This window comes from Homo sapiens, chromosome X (genome assembly GCF_000001405.40).
Source record: "Homo sapiens chromosome X, GRCh38.p14 Primary Assembly".
NCBI lineage: Eukaryota > Metazoa > Chordata > Mammalia > Primates > Hominidae > Homo > Homo sapiens.
In genome coordinates this window covers 7,267,387-7,286,409 of record NC_000023.11, presented here as the reverse complement: position 1 = coordinate 7,286,409, position 19,023 = coordinate 7,267,387, and the positions used below count along the sequence as shown (strand labels likewise).

The window sequence follows — 19,023 nt, the reverse complement described above, 5'->3', positions numbered from 1 at the left end:
ATACGGGTGTGCAATGACACGATCAGAGGTCATATTTCATCTGATCCAGAGCTCAGCTATGACTGCAAGCATATACCAAGAGTTGACAGTCTGAATAAACCAATGGATTTCCTTTTTTTTTAACTGCAGTTTCCACTTTGGGGAATTAACATTACATTAGCATTATTAAAATAAGTAGATTTCACAGACTCATTTTTTAAAAAGTGTGATTTAGGATGAGTGGGAGATAAATTTAATGTAAAATATCATGTGTAAACACACACATACATACACACACACACAGATAACCTAAAGCCTTTTGAAAGACATTTCCTAAAGGGGATTTCCAATGAAGAAAAACATCAGTGTGAAAATAAAGCCCAATTTGTTGCTTCACTTGAGTTTTAATCATTGTGTCATAGATGCCTTGGGATTCATAAATGAGAGGTGTTGGCTGAATATTTAAAATATGCCTCGTAAGCTGAAACAACAGTAATATGGTATCAGCGGCAGACTCATAAGGGATTCAGTGGCCATAGATTTCATCAGGTCCTCCTATAAGCATTGGGGATTAAGGAAAGATTCTGACTCCACTGGATAAATGGCAACAGATTTTTTTTGTAGTTTAATTATTTTTTTAAAAATACAAGAAAAAAGTCTGACCTATTCAGGAATCAGTATAATGTGGTATGTGTAATTTTTAAAAAGAGCTGATCTCTTTCAGTTATTTTAGCAAACATTTAATTTTTTAAAATCATAATGCCCAATGCTAGAACATGTGTAATGAACTGATACAATAAATTGGTATAATCAATGTCTTTTTCTGATATTTATCTTTCTATCATTTGCTTTGTATGAGCTCTTCCTATATCTCAGGAGTTTTCTTTTTATGTTGATGATGCACATGCTTTTTAAGTCTTTTGTCATTGGTCTTTTTGTTCAGTTTATGTTATATTTTTACCTGACATCAGGAGATTTTAGATTTCATGAAGTAAAATTCTGCAATCTTTCTCTTTGAGTTAGTTATTTCTTGGCTTTTGTGCTCAGAAAGACCTTTCTCAATTATCCTGTATATCAGATAAATATATCTCAATATATTTTTTGGAATTCTTCAGTACTTCCATTTTCCAAACACAATCTGCATGGGGAATTTATTTAAATATATGAGGAACAGCAAGAATAGCATAGTATGTAAGACAGACAAGATTAAAATCCTAGCCATCATATGCCATCTCCATGACTTTGGGCAACTTACTTTAATCTTCTATACTTCTTGTAAAATTGACTTCTTTATTTTGAGCATCACAACGTCCCCCTGCTTCCTCCTCTTCATCTTCATTATTTTCATCATTATCACCATCTTCACCACCATCATCACTATCATCATAATTACCACCATCATCAGCATCGCCATCATCATACCCATCATATCATCATCAACATTATCACTATCATGACCATCATCATCATCATCACCATCATCAGCATCACCACCATCACCATCACCATCAACACAACACCATTATTATACCATTTAAGCACATGCAAAGCACCACAATGCCAGACAGTAGTGAATTAACTACAATCGCTCTCCTAAAAGTTTAATCATACCATCACAATTATTGTATAATCCATTCTTAGCCATCTGCCTTGAAGGGTCACCTTTACATTTACATTTTACATGAAATTCTTTTTCTGGGCTTCCTGCTCTGTTCCATCATGCTGTCTAGTCTGGAGCCAGTGTCACATGGCTCTATGCTCTATTTATTTATCTTTATTTGAACTCTATGAAGCGCATGTTTAAAACAAAATGAAAATTAAAAACACATTTAAGAATTCATACCACATCCAACCATTGCTGCGGAAGCAGATGAGAGAGAGACTAGGGGATACATTTGCTTTTCTTAAGAGTTTTAAGACAAAATGCTTCCACGTTCTATTTCTTATTGCTCCAAGTGCATCCCCCTGCACATCACATCCCACTGGGATGTGTGCCACAGCTATGAAGAGATAACTAGTTGTATAGTCTCAGCAGTTAGCTCTTAATACTGCCTTAATGCCATTGAGCTAACAGATGGGTCTGTGCTGGACAGAGGGAAGCCAGCTTTCTTAGTGTGCATGGACCACCTCCCTGACTCCCTGAAACCTGTTAAAAACCTGAAACGTTGGCAGGTAACCAACGATTGAAATAATTTTCAAGCCTCAATTTTGAGTGTTTGATAATATTGGAAGCTCAGTTAATGAATGAGCAGTCCATAATGGTTCTACATTCCTCCTTACAAAGTAAACCATTATGCAAGTAAACCATTATGCATCCCCTCTCTCTGCCTGGCTATAAACCTCCACCATGAAAGTGAATAAAGATAATCAGCCCTAGGAATCACAGGACAGCCGTGCATGGCATCTTTGCTGGTGCACAGTCATATGAAGGCACCAGCTGAACACTCTGGCTTCCCAATTCCATGACCTCTCCAACGCCAGGAACTTGCCTTCCATTCATCATCCAGCAGGCATGCCATGCACCTGGGAATACCTGGAATGATTCAACCTCTGGAATATAAACACTTCCACTCTGCCCCAGCCTTCCAACACCTTTGCTGCAATCTTGTTTGAATCTCCAGTTCATCATCACAAGCCACCAGCTCTCTTCCTTCCTCATCCCCCACCACCATCTGCCACTTCAGTCCTTCTGTTGCTAATCACTCAAATTCCACTGCCCAGTTGCCTTTTGTGACACTCCCTGCTAGCAAAACTTCAATCATCAATAAGTTTGGTGATCCTACTTTCTGGCCCTGCATTGAACTGAAAATCCACATACCTATGTGCCAACACCCAATTCATGGTCTCCAAGCAGAGATGAGCTCAGACAAAGCCTGGTAAGTCATCCCTTGGCACAAATTCTTCCATTCCTCTTGAAAGAAATATCCAACCTCATTGACCTCAGCTCCTCAAATATCATTCTCTGTAATACACTATAATTCTACAATTTACAGGAGTTACATTCACTTGTCCCTTTTCAGCCCTTCTTGATGTCTCTGAAGTACTCGTTGGTATTGATCATTATCCGTTGAAATGCTCTTTGCTCCTGAATTCCCTGATCACACTTCTCTGAGTCTGTCTTCCCAGTTTTTGGCTGTTCTTTTGGTTTTCTTTTAGAGGTTCTTTCTGCCGTGACCTTCCTTTGGATGCTGGACTGGACCTTCCATCCTCACTGTGCACCAGAAGTGAGCACATTATTGTCACTTTTTAAAGAGGGTTGCATTGATCAAAAATAAGAATGTTTAAGAAATTCAAGATAGAAAAGTGATGCATTACACCCCAAGGGAAATACAAAGCCTTAAGATCCAGGCTAGACTCTGTATAGGGCAAAGAATGTCAAATAGAACATGGGCTTTTGTTTTTTTGGGTCTTACAGTTTTGAGAAGTAAAGACATGAAGGTTGATTTCTAAACTCTTATCCTGGATTAGATGGAGATAAATTGTGGGTCACAGGTTGCCCAACTGCCTGAAATATTCTTGCAGAACAATCTCATCCATGCCCATGGTTGGACTACTATTTTGATATATAGGAGAAAGCCAAGTCAACCTTATTCATATCTGTGTTCCTAGTAATTCCTGGCACCTTGGATCAGGCTTTGCAAATATCAGGCACCTGACCGCCATACTTTCACTTTTAAAACTTCCTTATTGAGCACCTAATGTGTACCTGGTCTATAGAACTTGAAGGAAATCAAAATATTTTACCACAAAATATATTTATTTCATATATGCGAGATGGCTCTCAGACAGCATGCAAGGAGAGCTGTTTTTGTGGGGGAGATTTGCATCTGCAGAAACTCTGTATTCATGTAACCAGGACTTCCCTCGTCCAGATCTAGGAAATACGAAATGAGAGTCCTACACTTTAAAGATCTTAAAGAAACATTAACTGGCCAAGCATGGAGGCTCACGCCTGTAATCCTAGCACCTTGGGAGGCCAAGATGGGAGGATCGCTTGAGCCCAGGAGTTCAAGACCAGCCTGGGCAACATAGTGAGACCTTGTCTCTACAAAAAATAAAATTATTAGCTGGGCTTGGGGGCAAGCATCTGCAGTCCCAGCTACTCAGGAGGCTAAAGTGGAAGGATTGCTTGAGCCCAGGAAGTCGAGGTTGCAGTCAGCCAAGATTGAGCTACTACACTCCAGCCTGGGTGACAGAGCAAGATCCTGTCTCAAAACGAACAAACAAACAAACAAACAAACAAACCATTTACCACTTATTTTATCGGAGGGCTGCCATGATGCAAGCTCCCATTCTTTCTGTAACCTCAATATGGTATACAAGCTTTGGTATCCCATAGGGGGTTTGGGTAGCCACTCTGTGATGCTCCCTGTGTGCAGGTTAATATAGTTTTTATGACTTTTCTCCAATTAATCTGCGTTTTGTGAGTTGAGCTTTAGAGAAACTTCAGAGGGTGAAGGGGAAGTTTTCCCCATGGCCCCTACAGATTCTAAAAGTAGATGTCTTCTACGTATATTGAATCAGAGGACTTTTGTCCATGTAAATGAACCTATATACAGAGGGGTTATTCATTGCATGCTACAGTCCATACTTTCACAATCATTTTAATCCAAACCTCCTAAAAGAGTCTATTTTAAAATGGATAATCCATTACAACCATGTCTGATAATCCAGGCCCTACTTAAAATTACACTGCAAATTTGAAGGGCTTAGACCAATACCTATGGTTCCCCATTGCCAGAGTTTTCTTGTGTTTCTTGAGGTTCTTGACACAATCCTGAGCTCTTACGAATGAGGCCTTCCAATTTATTCTCCATCCCTCAAGACGAGTTGGGTGCATGGCCCTTGCTGCTACATTGAGTTGCACATGACTGACTAAATGTCAGGCATGGCAAACACGCATTCATTCTGTAACATCCCCCAAGCTCATCTCATGAATTCACCACTTATTTTTCCTCCAGGTTGGTTCTCTGTGCCCAGAGGGTACGATAGCAATGTCCAGGTCCTCCTGCAGGGAAGGCAGAGGAGAGTGAGAGAAATCAAACTGAGGGTTGCCCTGTCATGCTCAGCCAACAGGGGATGCCAAGCTACCAATCCTGAGCAACTGAACGACAAATGCACAAAGACTTCTGGAACTCCATCTAAAGATGAAGACTTGCCATTCTTGTTTGAAAGAATCTCATAAAATCAGTTGATTCCAACTCTCAGCAGTGGAAGGGTGTTTTTTCTTTTTTTTTTTTCCATAGCAAGGCTTTTTTTTTTTTTTTGATGGAATCTCACTCTGTTGCCCAGGCTGGAGTGCAGGGGCGCAATCTTGGCTCATGCCAATCTCCGCCTCCCGGGTTCAAGTGATTCTTCCATCTCAGCCTCCCAAGTAGCTGGGATTACAAGCATGTGACACCATGCCTGGCTAAGTTTTGTACTTTGATTAGAGACGCGGTTTTGCCATGTTGGCCAGGCTGGTCTTGAACTGATAACCTTAGGTGATCCACCTGGGATTACAGGCATGAGCCACCACACCTGGCCAGGAAGCTTTGATTGGAAGCCAGAGATTTGTTTTAGCATTCACCTTCTTGTTCTCCACTTGAATTTTTCTTTGTAATAGTACAGAACTTGCTAGTCTAATCCTGAGCAAAGGCTGATTTATGATTCCTTCATGTTGTTCTATTAATAGCACAGGGCTCTGAGTGAATGCTGATTGCATGCAAATTCCACTTCACAGACTAGCTGTGATCACTATAATGGTGTAAGCTGTAGATAAGAAACCCCCGGTGAGAACTACATCCATCCTTCCACCTGACCCCCAACCATGAACAGGTCTATGAAAAATGTCAGTCTATTTCCAAAGGAAGAGAAACAGCCAGAATGACACGCCTCCAAAATGCTTGTTGTATACTGGAGAACAATGAGATTTTACACGTTTGTTCTTCCCTGATGCTTGGGCTGCTTCAGAATTAACTGGGATTGAAAATCAGACTTTGCAATAGCACCATGATTGCCCAAAGAATTCCACTGTGGGTGTGCCCTGCTGAAATGATGTGGCTGCTGTATCCAACATGCACAGCACCACTGCCCTTCCTGCTTCCAAACTGTTCAAGCACTTTATCTGCACCTCCCTCATGACATTCCTCACTTTCTGCCCTGAGTTGTTATAGGATCTCCTGAAAGAATCTTAAATTTCTTACTATCCTGTAGGCTGAACATTCTCCCCTAAACCTATAGTCTTATCATCATTGCACCCCACTCCCACCCTACACTGCCAAAAAACATTTAAGCACACAGTTAGCATCCAGTCAACATGACTAATGAATGAACTAGATCTGTCCCGGAGATATGTTGTTGGTTGTGCACTGACATGATGCACGCTTTCTTATTACATGGAAAGAAAAGAAACAAAGTGGTGTAGATTTCATGTTCTAGGTGGGACACCTGCATTGGAACTCATGCTCACCCATTATGAATTCTGTAACCTGAGGTGGGTGTACCTAACCTGCAAGCCTCACTTGCCTTACCTGTGGAATGCGAATGATGAGAACATCACCTGCTGCACAGGGACCACTGGCAGCACAAAATGAGGTAAGATGCTGGGACTCAGAAACTGATATCCCCAAAGATTGCATTTTGACATGCTAAACCGAAGAAGCCTCAAGTCTCTCTAACCTCCCCCTCATCCCACACACAGTTTCTCCCATAGAAGGTGAAGTTCTTTTATCTACCTAAGATCCAGACCCCCACAAGGAGAACATTTTTTTCCCTTCCCCTCCCTGTAATTTCATTGTCTGTTGCAGAAAAGAAGACCAAGATATGACTACCCCTGAGGAGACCCTTTTCCAAGTACAATGACTAACTCCAAGGATCATTTAAATTACAAGATAATCTCTGTTCCTGTATCCAATAATTCTCCCTAGCAATCATTTATTGCCCCTCAACAGAACTCCTCTTCTCCCTGACCCGCATAACCTGTTTTACCAGGATCCAAGCCCCCATCATACACACACACACACACACACACACACAGACACACACACATATATATACACACACATATATATACACACACACACACACATATACACACACACACACACACATACACACACACACACACACACACACACATATATATATATATATATATTTTTTTTTTTTTTCTTCCTGGAGTACAGTGGTGCGATCTCGGCTCACTGCAACCTCCGCCTCCCAGGTTCAAATGATTCTCCTGCCTCAGCCTCCCCAGTAGGTGGGATTACAGGTGCACACCACCATGCCCGGCTAATTTTTGTATTTTTAGTAGAGATGGGGTTTTACCATGTTGGCCAGGCTGGTCTCGAACTCCTGACCTCAGGTGATCTGCCCGCTTCGGCCTCCCAAAGTGCTGGGATTACAGGTGTGAGCCCCCATGCCTGGCCCAAGCCCCCAACCTTTCTGTAACCTCAGGATGGTGTATAAGCTTCTGGACCCCATTGGGAGGTTGGGTCTTCATTATGAAGGCTCTTGTGTATGCACATTCAATAAATTAGTATGTCTTTTCTCCTATGAATCAATCTGCCTCATGCCAGTGATTTCTTGACAACCTTTATGGGACCAAAAGCCTATGGCTCCCACAAATACATGTGCTATCAGGGCCCAGTATACGGCCAGCTCTCAATGTTAGTCACTCTGATGATTAAAATCATGTCGACCACCCCGTGAATTTGCAGAGCAGAATTGTATCTCCTGGATTTCAACTGCCCTTGTGTGGTTGTACTGAGAAGCCCCTTCTGCAGCTCTCACAACATCTGTATGAAGTCAGTCTTTCTCTAGTTACTATAACAATATGAGACACAGCACTCACTCAGCTAAGAATAAGGCAGTAAGCCACAATCACGGGCAGTAGAACTGGTGTACAGTTACATAATAAAGGTTCTTGGTCACTGAATATGCCTTTCCAGGCTTAGAGAAACCTGCAGTGGAGAAAGTGATGATCCACAGAATTATACAGCCCTCAAACATGTGGAGAGAACATGCTCTGAGTGACTGAGATGCACCCTCACTAGTTAACCGCTTCCATCTCAGTTTTCCTTTGTGCAGGGAGTGTTTCTTATGAAGCAAATATCCCCCTTTTATTTTATTACATAATTATTCAGAATCCAACAGTCCCGTCCTGTGTAATAAGGAAAAGCCCTTCTTGGAAAGAAGAAATATTCTTTAGAACACTCATATGTATTGGATTTAAAAAACAAAAACTTTCTTAAAAATTCATGGAATGCTTAGGGGAAGGATTTTATCTTTCCGCCAAAAACAAAAAAACAACACAAACATCTATAAATCAGGGGCTAAGGCAGGTCTTGAAGATTGAAAATACTCTCCAAATACTTTAGAGGAACTAGTAGTGAGACAACACTGGAAGTTAGACTTTCTAATGAGTCAGGCATGTATGCCATGCTAATTAAATAAAATTTAATCAACAGGTGTGATGAGATCAGCGTGAGGTTGCTTGCTAGCCAACAGAAATCTTAGAGTTGCATAAGCAGCCTGACACATTAAAATAGAACACTCATTAAAAAGAGAAAATATTCTACTGATTTACACTAAGATGCGAAAAATATAAATTGATTTATGTGCAACATTTTAGAAAGGAAAAAATAAAAGGAGGCAGGCTTGTATTGGTATATGTACGAGCCCTAAGCGTAATGCATTCTTCTTATAAATCTTGTTAGAGAGAATGTTCTGGTTTTGTTTTTCCTAGTTAGTATTACAAATGGTACTCACTCTCATTACTTTATAGAATCACAGACTATTAGAGAAAAAAAGAACCTCAGAACTCGCCTAATTTGAATCCTCCTATCAAGATGATAGAGGAGAGGCCTGAAGATGTAAAACATCTCCCAAGTTCACAGAGATAATTAAAGAAGCATCTAGAAGCTGGAAGAAGAGCCCAGTCTTGTTTCTTAAGAAGGTGCTCCTTTCATGATTTAAAACAAAACAGAACAAAATTTGTTCTGACAATCACCACAGTAGGTGACCACCACTGCCATCAATTTTCTGCTTTAAACAAACAAACAAACAGAACTAGGAAGCAACTTTCATGGATTTCCAAAACATCTGGATCCAAAGATTAGAAACTATTGAGTTATTTCACCAAAAGAAATGGAAGGAAGAATGAGAGAGAGAAAAAGTAAAAGGAAACAAATATATGAAAATCTTCAGGAACCTGGGCGAGTACTGGAATATGGACAAAATGATCTCTTCTGTCACTCTGATACTGTCCAGATGAGCCCAGCAATGTAAAAGTAAGAGGCAATGCTGCTAGAAAAGACTGGAAGTTGTGAGAAGTTCCGAGTGGACTGGAATGCTGATTTTTCACTCCTTTGCGTAACTCACACACTAAGGCCTTCCCTACCTCATTCAGCATGAGATTGCATGCCAGCCAACCCCTTAGCTGTGTACAGCTAAGAGACCCCAGGTGTAATCCCCCATCCTGGGATCTCTGAGCTCTGCAAGACAAAATAAAAGCATAGGGATGATGATGTAGATATGGAAGACATGCATTTTAACTTAAACAAAGCTTCAGTAAGGAAGTCTTCCCAATGTCAGTGAAAAATGCCATGTTTCTCAGAAATAGGGTTATTTGCTCAGGAAGGGAGAGAAGGAGTTTGGAGAACAAGCAAAGCTTTGCCATCGTTAGATGCAGCAAGAAGAACACGAGGATCTCGTCACTGTTGCCCTGAGAGCCTCGCCAAGGCTGTAGCCAGCTGCAGGTATTCTGGATCCAAAATCCATCACACATTTAACTGCTAATGACAAGGCATTGTTCATATTTCATTGTTGATAGAATAAGGGATAATAAGGACTAAAGTTTTGTCTCTTTTCGTCCATGAATCTCTTCCATCTGCAGCCCACAGACTAGACTTCCCCTGAAATGTATCCACTAGGAACTGCAGACATGCAAAAGAGGGTAAAGATATATATATTTTTTTTAAGAGACAAGGTCTCAGTCTCACCCAGGCTGGAGTGCAGTGGTGCAATCATAGCTCAGTGCAGCCTCAACCTCCTGGGTTCAAGACGTCCTCCCACCTCAGCCTCCCAATTAGCTGGGACCACAGGCATGTACCACCACACCTGGCTGATTTTTTTTTATTTTTTGTAGAGATGGGGTCTCCCTATGTTGCCGAGGCTGGTGAAGGTGCTTTTTGTATTCTATTTACCTTTCAGGATCAATGCATTTTTGGTTACTTTCAAAAAACCCCATACATTTGCTGTCTCTAAAGGCATCAGGAACAAAGATAGAAATACACAGGAAAGAAAACACAAGGAGGCAAAGACTTAGCAGCTTTCTAAGCACTCACTGAGGAGAAACGTACCCACACTCCAGTCCATTTCCTCAACAGCATCCCCGTAGACTCCGTGTTGACTTTTGCCAGCAAAGTCTTTGCTGGAGAACAGGGCTGTGTGCACGTGGAGGTAGGACAAGACAAGCAGGAACGGAGTCTCAGTGTTCCTGCAAAAAAAAAAAAAAAAAGGGAGGAAAAAAAAGACCACAGATAATGTTAAGTATGTCTGCCACCATTCTGATTAAGATCCACCTATTATCATAGCAGGCTATTTGAAAATTCACAAAATATTACAAGTTAATTGCCTAATATGGTATCTTCTGTCAGAGAAAGGTAAGTCTCTGTTGTGTCTCTATGAAGTGACTTATTGTTACCCTCTATGGATCAGTAAGTGAAGAATTATGTTATTGAGACATCCCCCAAAGACCCAACTCAGGAAGAGATTTAATAGAAAATTGCCTATATTTGTTTTTTGTTGTTGTTGTTTAATTCTGTTCTTCCTTCTCTATATGGTGATTAATATGAATTCAAGCACCTTGAAAATAGTATTTCTTTGGGAAAAAAATTTATACACAAATACACATACACACACTGCTAGAGAAGACTACCTTTTAAAATTTTTAATTGATATATGCAAACAATTATACAAATATATATACAAATTTTGTATATATAGGTATCATTTGATATATACAAATAATTCTTGTATAGACTTGTTGGGGACAGTGCAATAATATATGTTTACCATGTGGAATGATTAAATAAAGCTAATCAAAATATTCATTTTCTCATATAGTTGTCATTTCTTTGAGGTGAGAACATTTAAAATCTACTCTCTCAGCAATTTTGAAATATATAATACATTGTAAGTCACTACAGTCACCATGTAATGCAATACATCCCCAAACTATTCCTCCTGTCTAACTAAAACTTTTTATCCTTTGACCAACATGTCCCCATTCCCCATCCACTCCCCTAACCCCAGTCCCTGGTAACTGCCATTCTACTCTCTGCTTCTAGGAGTTCAACTTTCTTCTTAGATTCCACATAGAAGTGAGATCTTGCAGTATTTGTCTTTCTGTGTCTGGCTTATACAACTTAGCAGAATGTCCTCCAGGTTCATCCATGTTGTCAAAAATGACAGCATTACGTTCTTTTTAAAGGTGAATAGTATTCCATTGTGTACCTTCAGTTGTCAATTACTTTCATCAATGCTGTTTGAACTCCAACTCAATTTTGTGTTCTACCCTCTTCTATAATACAACAAGTCTCCTAGAATGAACACTAAATGGTCAATACTGAAATTTTCAAAGTTAAATAGAACATTCATTCAATTGGCCTAAACCTCTCGAGAGAGGGGAATGATAATGCAAACATATTCCTTAATTCAGAGAGCACCTAAACCTCCTTCATTTGAATTGATTAGAATGCACAGATACTCAAGAGTTATAAGTCACTGTCAATGCGTGGCCTTTGCTACAATGGGCTGTGAGCGATGTTGCTATACGAAGGTATGAGGTTTCACAACTGAGTCTGCTGATAGGGATCAATAAGTCCCATGGGTGCTTCTTCACATCGGGTTGCCCTCTGAGAAATGCATTTAGTGCTGTGTCTCAGTTTCACCTCGTAGGCTCAATCTTTACCTCTCGTCTGGGAAATAATTAGCAATTCCTTTCTGCTGAAAGAGAATACTGGGTGAGAGGCCTTTTTGAAGGCTATCAGGGAACAGGACAAGTGTCCACTTCCCCAGGGTTGGTGAGAGCTCTGAGAGATTTGTGCAAGAAGCTGCAATGCTTAGAGGGGACAGACACACCTTAATGACAGCCCCTGCCTCACTGCCCACTCCCCAATGGCTTCTTCTTACTGTGATTCAAGCTCTTCCTTTAACTACTTCTGTGAACTTGGGTGGGTTCCTTAAATAACTACACTTCAGATTTATTATCAAAACATGAACAGTCCTGACGAAGCCTTATGTTGATGCCAATACTCTCACACAGCCCAGCTTCTACCCCAATATGGTAACCAGTCCCAAACACAGCTTGCACATTCACAGCTCAATGCTCTGCACATCATCACCTCTCAACCTAAAACTTACTTCCCCCTCTCCCTGGCAAGCAGTCATTGTTCAGAAGCCATCTCCAATGCCACCTCCTCTGAGAGCCTGTTCCCCTTTTCCAGGAAGTCCCATCAGGGCTGAGCACCATGGAGCATTAACCTTCCACTGAATCTCCAGGCCCTAGTGCCATGCCTGACCTGTAGAAGATACTTAATAATATTGCCAAACAAATGAGAGAATGAATGCATGGATGGGGGCAGGAATTCAATTTCTTTTTTTTTTAATAGGAGAAAGGGCATACAAATTCATTTAATGTGTACACATAGGAGCCTTGAGAATGAAGACCCAAAGATAAAGGGGAAATTGACTATTTTTATGCTTAGGTTCAACAAAGTATGTACAGCCATGTAGAAATAGGATTGGACAAAAAGGGCCTGATCTAATGCTAATGAACTGAGTGGGGAAAGCCGGCAAGGCCTGTCTGTCTAGATTGTTCTTGGCCTCTCTGAGCAGCGTTCCTTCTTTCTAAGTGTGGGGTAGGACCTTCTCTGGAATGGGAGTGCTAGGACCCACAGTCAAGGTAGGTTGGGGAATTTCTTTATGGCCAGTTTTTACATAGAAAGGATGAGGAAAAATTGGTCCTATTTTTCAGTCCTATGACTTGATTGAGGGAGAAGGGGTTCTGGTCTCTATAACTTGCCTTGGGGAAGAGGGATTCTAGTTTGTATGGCTAGCCTCAGGGGAGACTGAGATGATTCTCTGCTGGTCATTTCCTCTTTCTCTTCAGTATTCTCTAGTTTCCCTGTTGGGGCTCAGAAAAGGGAACCCTAAAACAATATTGTTAAGCATCCCCTACAGGCCAGGCATGGTTGTAGGGTCTGGAGCTTATTTTTTTGTTATTATTTTATATTTGAGATAGAGTCTTGCTGTGTTGCTCAAGCTAGAGTGCAGTGGCATGATCTCAGCTCACTGCAACCTCTACCTCCTGGGTTCAAGCAATTGTCTTGTCTCAGCCTCTGGAGTAGCTGGCATTAAAGGTGCACACCACCATGCCCAGCTAATTTCTGTAATTGTTTTAGTAGAGATGGGGTTTTGCCATGTTGGCCTGGCTGGTCTGAAACTCCTGACCTCAGGTGATCCTCCTGCCTCAGCCTCCCAAAGTGCTGGGATTACAGGTATGAGCCACTGCACCCAGCCCGGAGATTCAATTTTTATTAGCAAATGCTAATAAAGTATGTGTTCCACGACACCAGAGCTCTTTATGTGCTCTCTTCTCCCACCAGACCACCAGGCAGGAGGTGTCATTTATATCATGGTGTTCCTGACACCCGCAAAGTGATTGGCAGGTGGCATGAATTCAGCAAATCTCTGCTATTGGATGAAATACTGCATTTGCTTTCTGAGCATTGGCAGCCCCGCCCAGCAGTCAAGTGAACGACAGGGCCTTGGGAATGCAATGTGAATTGCATTGTGAATGGTTTATGTTGCATATGGTTTAGACTTCTGCCTAAGTCTCTTGTTACTTAGAAGGGATGTGGTTTATGTAACGGTTGCTCTAGAGCAAGGATTCCTCTGCAGAACTTCTGTCCTAAATCTCGTTACTTTGAAGGAATGTGGCTTATGTAACAGTTGCTCTAGAGCAGAGATTCCTCTGCAGAACTTCTGTCCTCAGTCTTTTGTTACTTTGACGGGACATGGTTTATGTAACAGTTGCTCTAGAGCAGGGACTACTCTGCAGAACTTCTCTCCTAAGTCTCTTCTTACTTTGAAGGGGTCATCTCCTATGGTCCACATCTTTACCAGCCAGTAAAAGTTCAGAAGACTACATATATATATATATATATGTAATTAAATTAATTTTTCTTCTATGTATTCCTGGCTTCCTTAACTTCTCATGATAGCCAAAAACATTCCAAATTTTGGACTGGGTGTCACAAATACTAATAAGTTTTTCTGGAAACAATAAATGGATATATGCTTTTCTAAATGCATTTTGTATTTTGCTAATGTTAATATACCTTGGGCTCCTCGAACTGCTCACACCTATGGCTGTAACACTTCCCTTTTCAGTTCTTACATTTATTAACCCCCTACTCCTTTGAAAGAGAAAATTAGCACAAAACAGCACACTTTGGGTTAGAGCTAAGCCAGGCATCCCCAGTTCTCTGAAAACAGGCAGATCAAATCTAACAAGTTATTGGTAATCATCAGTACCATGTTTTATTATTCCAGTACTTGGTGGCAAATTAGGTACCCCCCAACCTTTTTTTTTTTTTACAAGAATATGAAACAAGGAAATGTTGTTAATATCTCACAGCCAAGAAAGTTAAAAAAAAAAAAAATCCTGAGTGGCTTGTCTCACCTCTCACAGGAACTGGAATAAGAAGGCATGCAATGAGAGCCCACTGGACCTGGTCTATAACATTCACTGTTAGATCTCAGAAAGAAAAGAGGACATACTACTGCTTAGATGGAAGCACTGTAATTGTCATCCTAGCTGATGACTTACATATGAGCATCTCTACCAAGCCATGTGTTTGGCTCCTTCTAAGAGAAGATGCCCTTGAGGAACCTGGAGGAGCTGAAATGGAGCCACAGTATGTTAGAGAGCTTGGCCACACAGAGCAGACTGTGAAGCCTCCATCCTACTTATTATGGGGAAAGTTTACTCACACCTGGGCAAATTGCACCTCCTTCCCCAGAAGCAGATTGTGTTCCCCTAAACTGGCTTAGATTCCTCAAAACGAACATGAAATTACAGTCTTTGTGTTCCTAAATAGAGAGTTACATTATGTATGAGAACAATCTCACTGCAATTTCACTCTCATCTGTTCTCCCATTTATTTTTAGATTTAAAGTTAAGGAAAATAGATAAGAAAGCTTAAAAAGTCAATCTCCCAAGCATAGTACATGGTCATACAGGATGTGAGTGACAGAATTTGCTGAGAACGAGGAGCTATTGCATGGATTGAAATGCCCAGCACTGGGCTCCAGTCCAGTTTCGACTTGGATTCTCCAATTTTGGATAGCAGTCCTCTTGCTCAAAAGTTAAAAAAAAAAAAAGAAGAAGAAGAAGAAGAAAGAGACATCCATCAACATGATTGGCAGGATCATAAAATTGTGGCATATTAAAATGTGAGGTGGAAATAAAGAAATAAATGATAAAGATGACACAACCGGCAAATAATAAAGCCTGAAATAAAAGCTGGTTCATGAGGACTGAAAGAACAGTTGAGTCAAAGACCTGAGCTTCAGGGTTCAATCAAGGCTACGGAACATGACCTTTGTCTTGGAATGCAGGGGAATCCTCCTTAGAAGGGGAGAAGGGAATTAATGTGTTTATTATCAAAATTCACATATTTATGGAACTTGTTTTCTATCATCTCTCTATAAAGCAGTGGTTTTTTATTCTATAGGGGTGACATCAGAGATACCAGCATCTTTATGTATACTCTGTGCATCGAGTAGAGTTGATTAGGTTTGACATACAAAAACAAACCCAGAAAACAGAGAAAAGCATACTTGGCTTGCAAAAACACTGTTCCAAGATTTACCATTCAGGAACAGAAGTGAAATCAACGGTGCATGGGAATGTTGGCTAGACAGACATAAATCACTGGCTTTCCTGCACACACCTGGGGTGTAACTGACAGCCTGTGCCCAGGTGAAGGAATTCTTGCTTTGTGATATCCTTTGAGAGACCAGGAAAGACCATTTGCTTCAAACCCAGGCTCAGGAAGGAGATCTGGGTTTCTCTTCCTCTCTACGACCTTGAAAGCTGAATGACACATCAGCAAGTTGGTGGAAGAAAGATTTCTCAATAACAGCTTAATTCCTTTTTTATTAGCTGGAGTACTTCAGTAAACAACTCTTCTGAAAATTTATTGCCACTGTCTTGCACACTGTGCGAAAAGATAGAACTTTCAGCTGCTACATGCCTGCGCTCCATTTGTTAAAAATACAGAAGACAGCCCTGAGCCTTTCCAGCAACATGTAATCATTCCAATCTCAGAATCAAAAGATTTACATTCTATAGAGGCAGGAGTGAAAATTCACACAAGAAGATGGCTAAGGCATTTTTTTTCTGTCTGCCATAAAGTATACTTTTGAGGATCTTCGGAATAATAATCTTCATCTGAGTGTCTGACCTTTATTATTGTAGTATTGTTCCAACTACAGTGGGCATAGGGAATAACAGGAATGCAAATAGGGATGTCTGTGAATTCCTTCTGGCTACCTTCTGCTGCTGGTAATTAGAGTATGGCATAAATCAGATAGCGGTATCAACAACCGCCACCCCCAACCCCCACAAAGTTCATGTGACCACCTCTGCGTGCAGCAGGTGGATTTATACACCCAGCTGTTCATGTCTTCCATCTATAAGTTTTGCAGTTATTAAGCAAATGTTCTGCTGACACACAATACCAGGCACCAGAAATATAAAGAGAGACTGGACCGGACCCTGCCATCAGCAACCCACAGTTCAGACAAGAGCATTGACAGCTAGTCTAAGCTGTCTTAAATGCCCCACTCAGTGCTGCAGAGAATGAATTCAGAGGAGAACTTATCTCAACCTGGCAGGGGTCAGAATTTGCTCCCAGAAAGAGGTAGCTTTCAATGGTTCACATAGCATGACAGTGTTTGTGAATGATTTCCATAAACATGTAGGCTTTCGAGCTATTCACAGGCATGATATTCAGAGATACAGAAATGTATGGCTGGAGAGGCATTTCCAGGGTCAGGTGTAAGTATTCTTTATCTATGCCCCAGTGAGTTGGGAATGCCATGGACCCACTAGATCTAGTATGGCAAAAGACGAACATCCCTCAGTACCTGTATTGTTACAATATGCTCAGCCCGAAACCAGAGGTTCATTCAAAAGAGAAGCCCTCCCCTCCTTTTTTTTTTTCAGAGACAGGGTCTTGCTCTGTTGTGCAGGCTGGAGTGCAGTGGTGCAATCATAGCTCACTGCAGCCTACAACTCCGGGGCTTAAGAGATTCTCCCACCTCAGCTTCCTGAGTAGCTGGGACTACAGGTGTGCACGACCATGCCGAGCTAATACTTCCTGATTTTTTGTAGAGACAGGGTCTCACTATATTGCCCAGGCTGGTCTTGAACTCCTGGCATCAAGTAATCTTCTCATCTCAGTCCCCCAAGTAGCTGGGACTACAGGCACACACCACCATGCCCGGCTAATATTTCTTTATTTTTTGTAGACACAGGGTCTTGCTGTATTGCCCAGGCTGGTCTTGAACTCCTGAGCTCAAGTGATCCTCCCACCTAGGCTTCCCAAAGTGCTAGGATTACAGGCATGAGCCACTGTGCCCGTTGCCCTCATTTTTAAATACATATCCCATAGGCCCACAAAAGTTAGAAACAAATCATGTGTTACCTGCAGTTATTGAATAATGTGACTCTTTGATAATTCTTTAATTATTTACTTTTTCCATTTTTGAATGAGCATCTGTGTGTGTCCCTGTATATTGCTCTTAGTGTTTAATCTGATTTACTTTTCTTACCATGAATTAAAATCAATATCACCCCATTCCTTCCTGGCTTACACTCTTATCGAAACTAATGAAACCTCCTAAAGATCCCTTTATTCAAAAGACACTTTGAGCCAAATCACAGCTATTCATCACAGCCACTTACACTGGGGTCCAGCTGGAAGTGGGAGAGGCTAGGCTGGAGGAACCCAATAAATGCATTTCGGGATTGTGACTGTGCCAAATGGTGATAGCAGTACATAGACCAGGACAAAAGGTCATATCTTCTTCCAATAATACATTTATCAGCTGTCATAGATTTTAGGGAATTATGATTACACAAGCAATGCTTGTAGAAAGGAGTATTTATTTATCATAAAAGTACAGACCATAGGAAATGGTAGGAGAGATTCTTCCCCATGGCTCTCCACTAAATGTATAATCTTTTCATGTAGGTGTTTCCCCCCCACCCCTTGATTACTGATACTTTCCATCATGCTGATGTCTTGGTGTGTTTTCTGTGGAGAGTTGTCAGGGAGCAGGGTTTACTGTTTTCAGAACAGGAGATCTTACCACTCCGGGAAGTCAGAGATTAAAAACAGAACTCTACATAATTTCCAAATTTTTGATTTGCTATCCATAAACCCTTTGCTGAAAAAATTCATCTATAAAGAACAAGAGTTATCCTACATTGAGCTTGACTAAAACTTATTAGCTTTTATTGAACTTCTAATTAAAATATCTCAAAATATACATACATATATTTAATATATTGAAACAACTTAATAAACTTCAGCCTGGAGAACCTTATACTAATGGCAAATTCCAGATAAATCTATAAATCCCATAACTGTATAACATACTATACAGATTATGTAGGTGTGTATAAAGTCATTGCCATTCTTGGAAATCTACTGTTCGAAGTGGGCATGTATATATCTTCAGAGAAAAACACGAAGTGATTTACTTAAATATTTTTCCTAGCAATGAAGCACTGTTTCAATGAATTCAGAGAAGAGGCCAACATATCTGTTTTTTCACAAAGCAGAGTGACCAACATCCATCTCTTTCTATTGAAGACATAAAACATGAATCTCATTCTACCCACCAGCATGACACCTTTTTAAAAATTAGCCTTGACTTGAACTAAAGAAAAAAGCTGTTTGTGAATAAAATTAACTTGCTACA

The 19,023-nt window shown here is 40.7% G+C and overlaps 1 protein-coding gene across 7 annotated transcripts in view; it reads right to left on the bottom strand.

Moving 5' to 3' along the window:
• Nucleotides 1-19,023, bottom strand: part of STS (steroid sulfatase) — a 207,352-nt gene that overhangs the window by 68,232 nt on the left and 120,097 nt on the right. For all 7 annotated transcript variants that reach the window (NM_001320750.3, NM_001320751.2, NM_001320752.2 and 4 more), the window contains one exon: nt 10,323-10,459. In NM_001320750.3, coding sequence (NP_001307679.1) covers nt 10,323-10,459 — 137 coding nt within the window. The remainder of the gene's footprint in view (nt 1-10,322; nt 10,460-19,023) is intronic.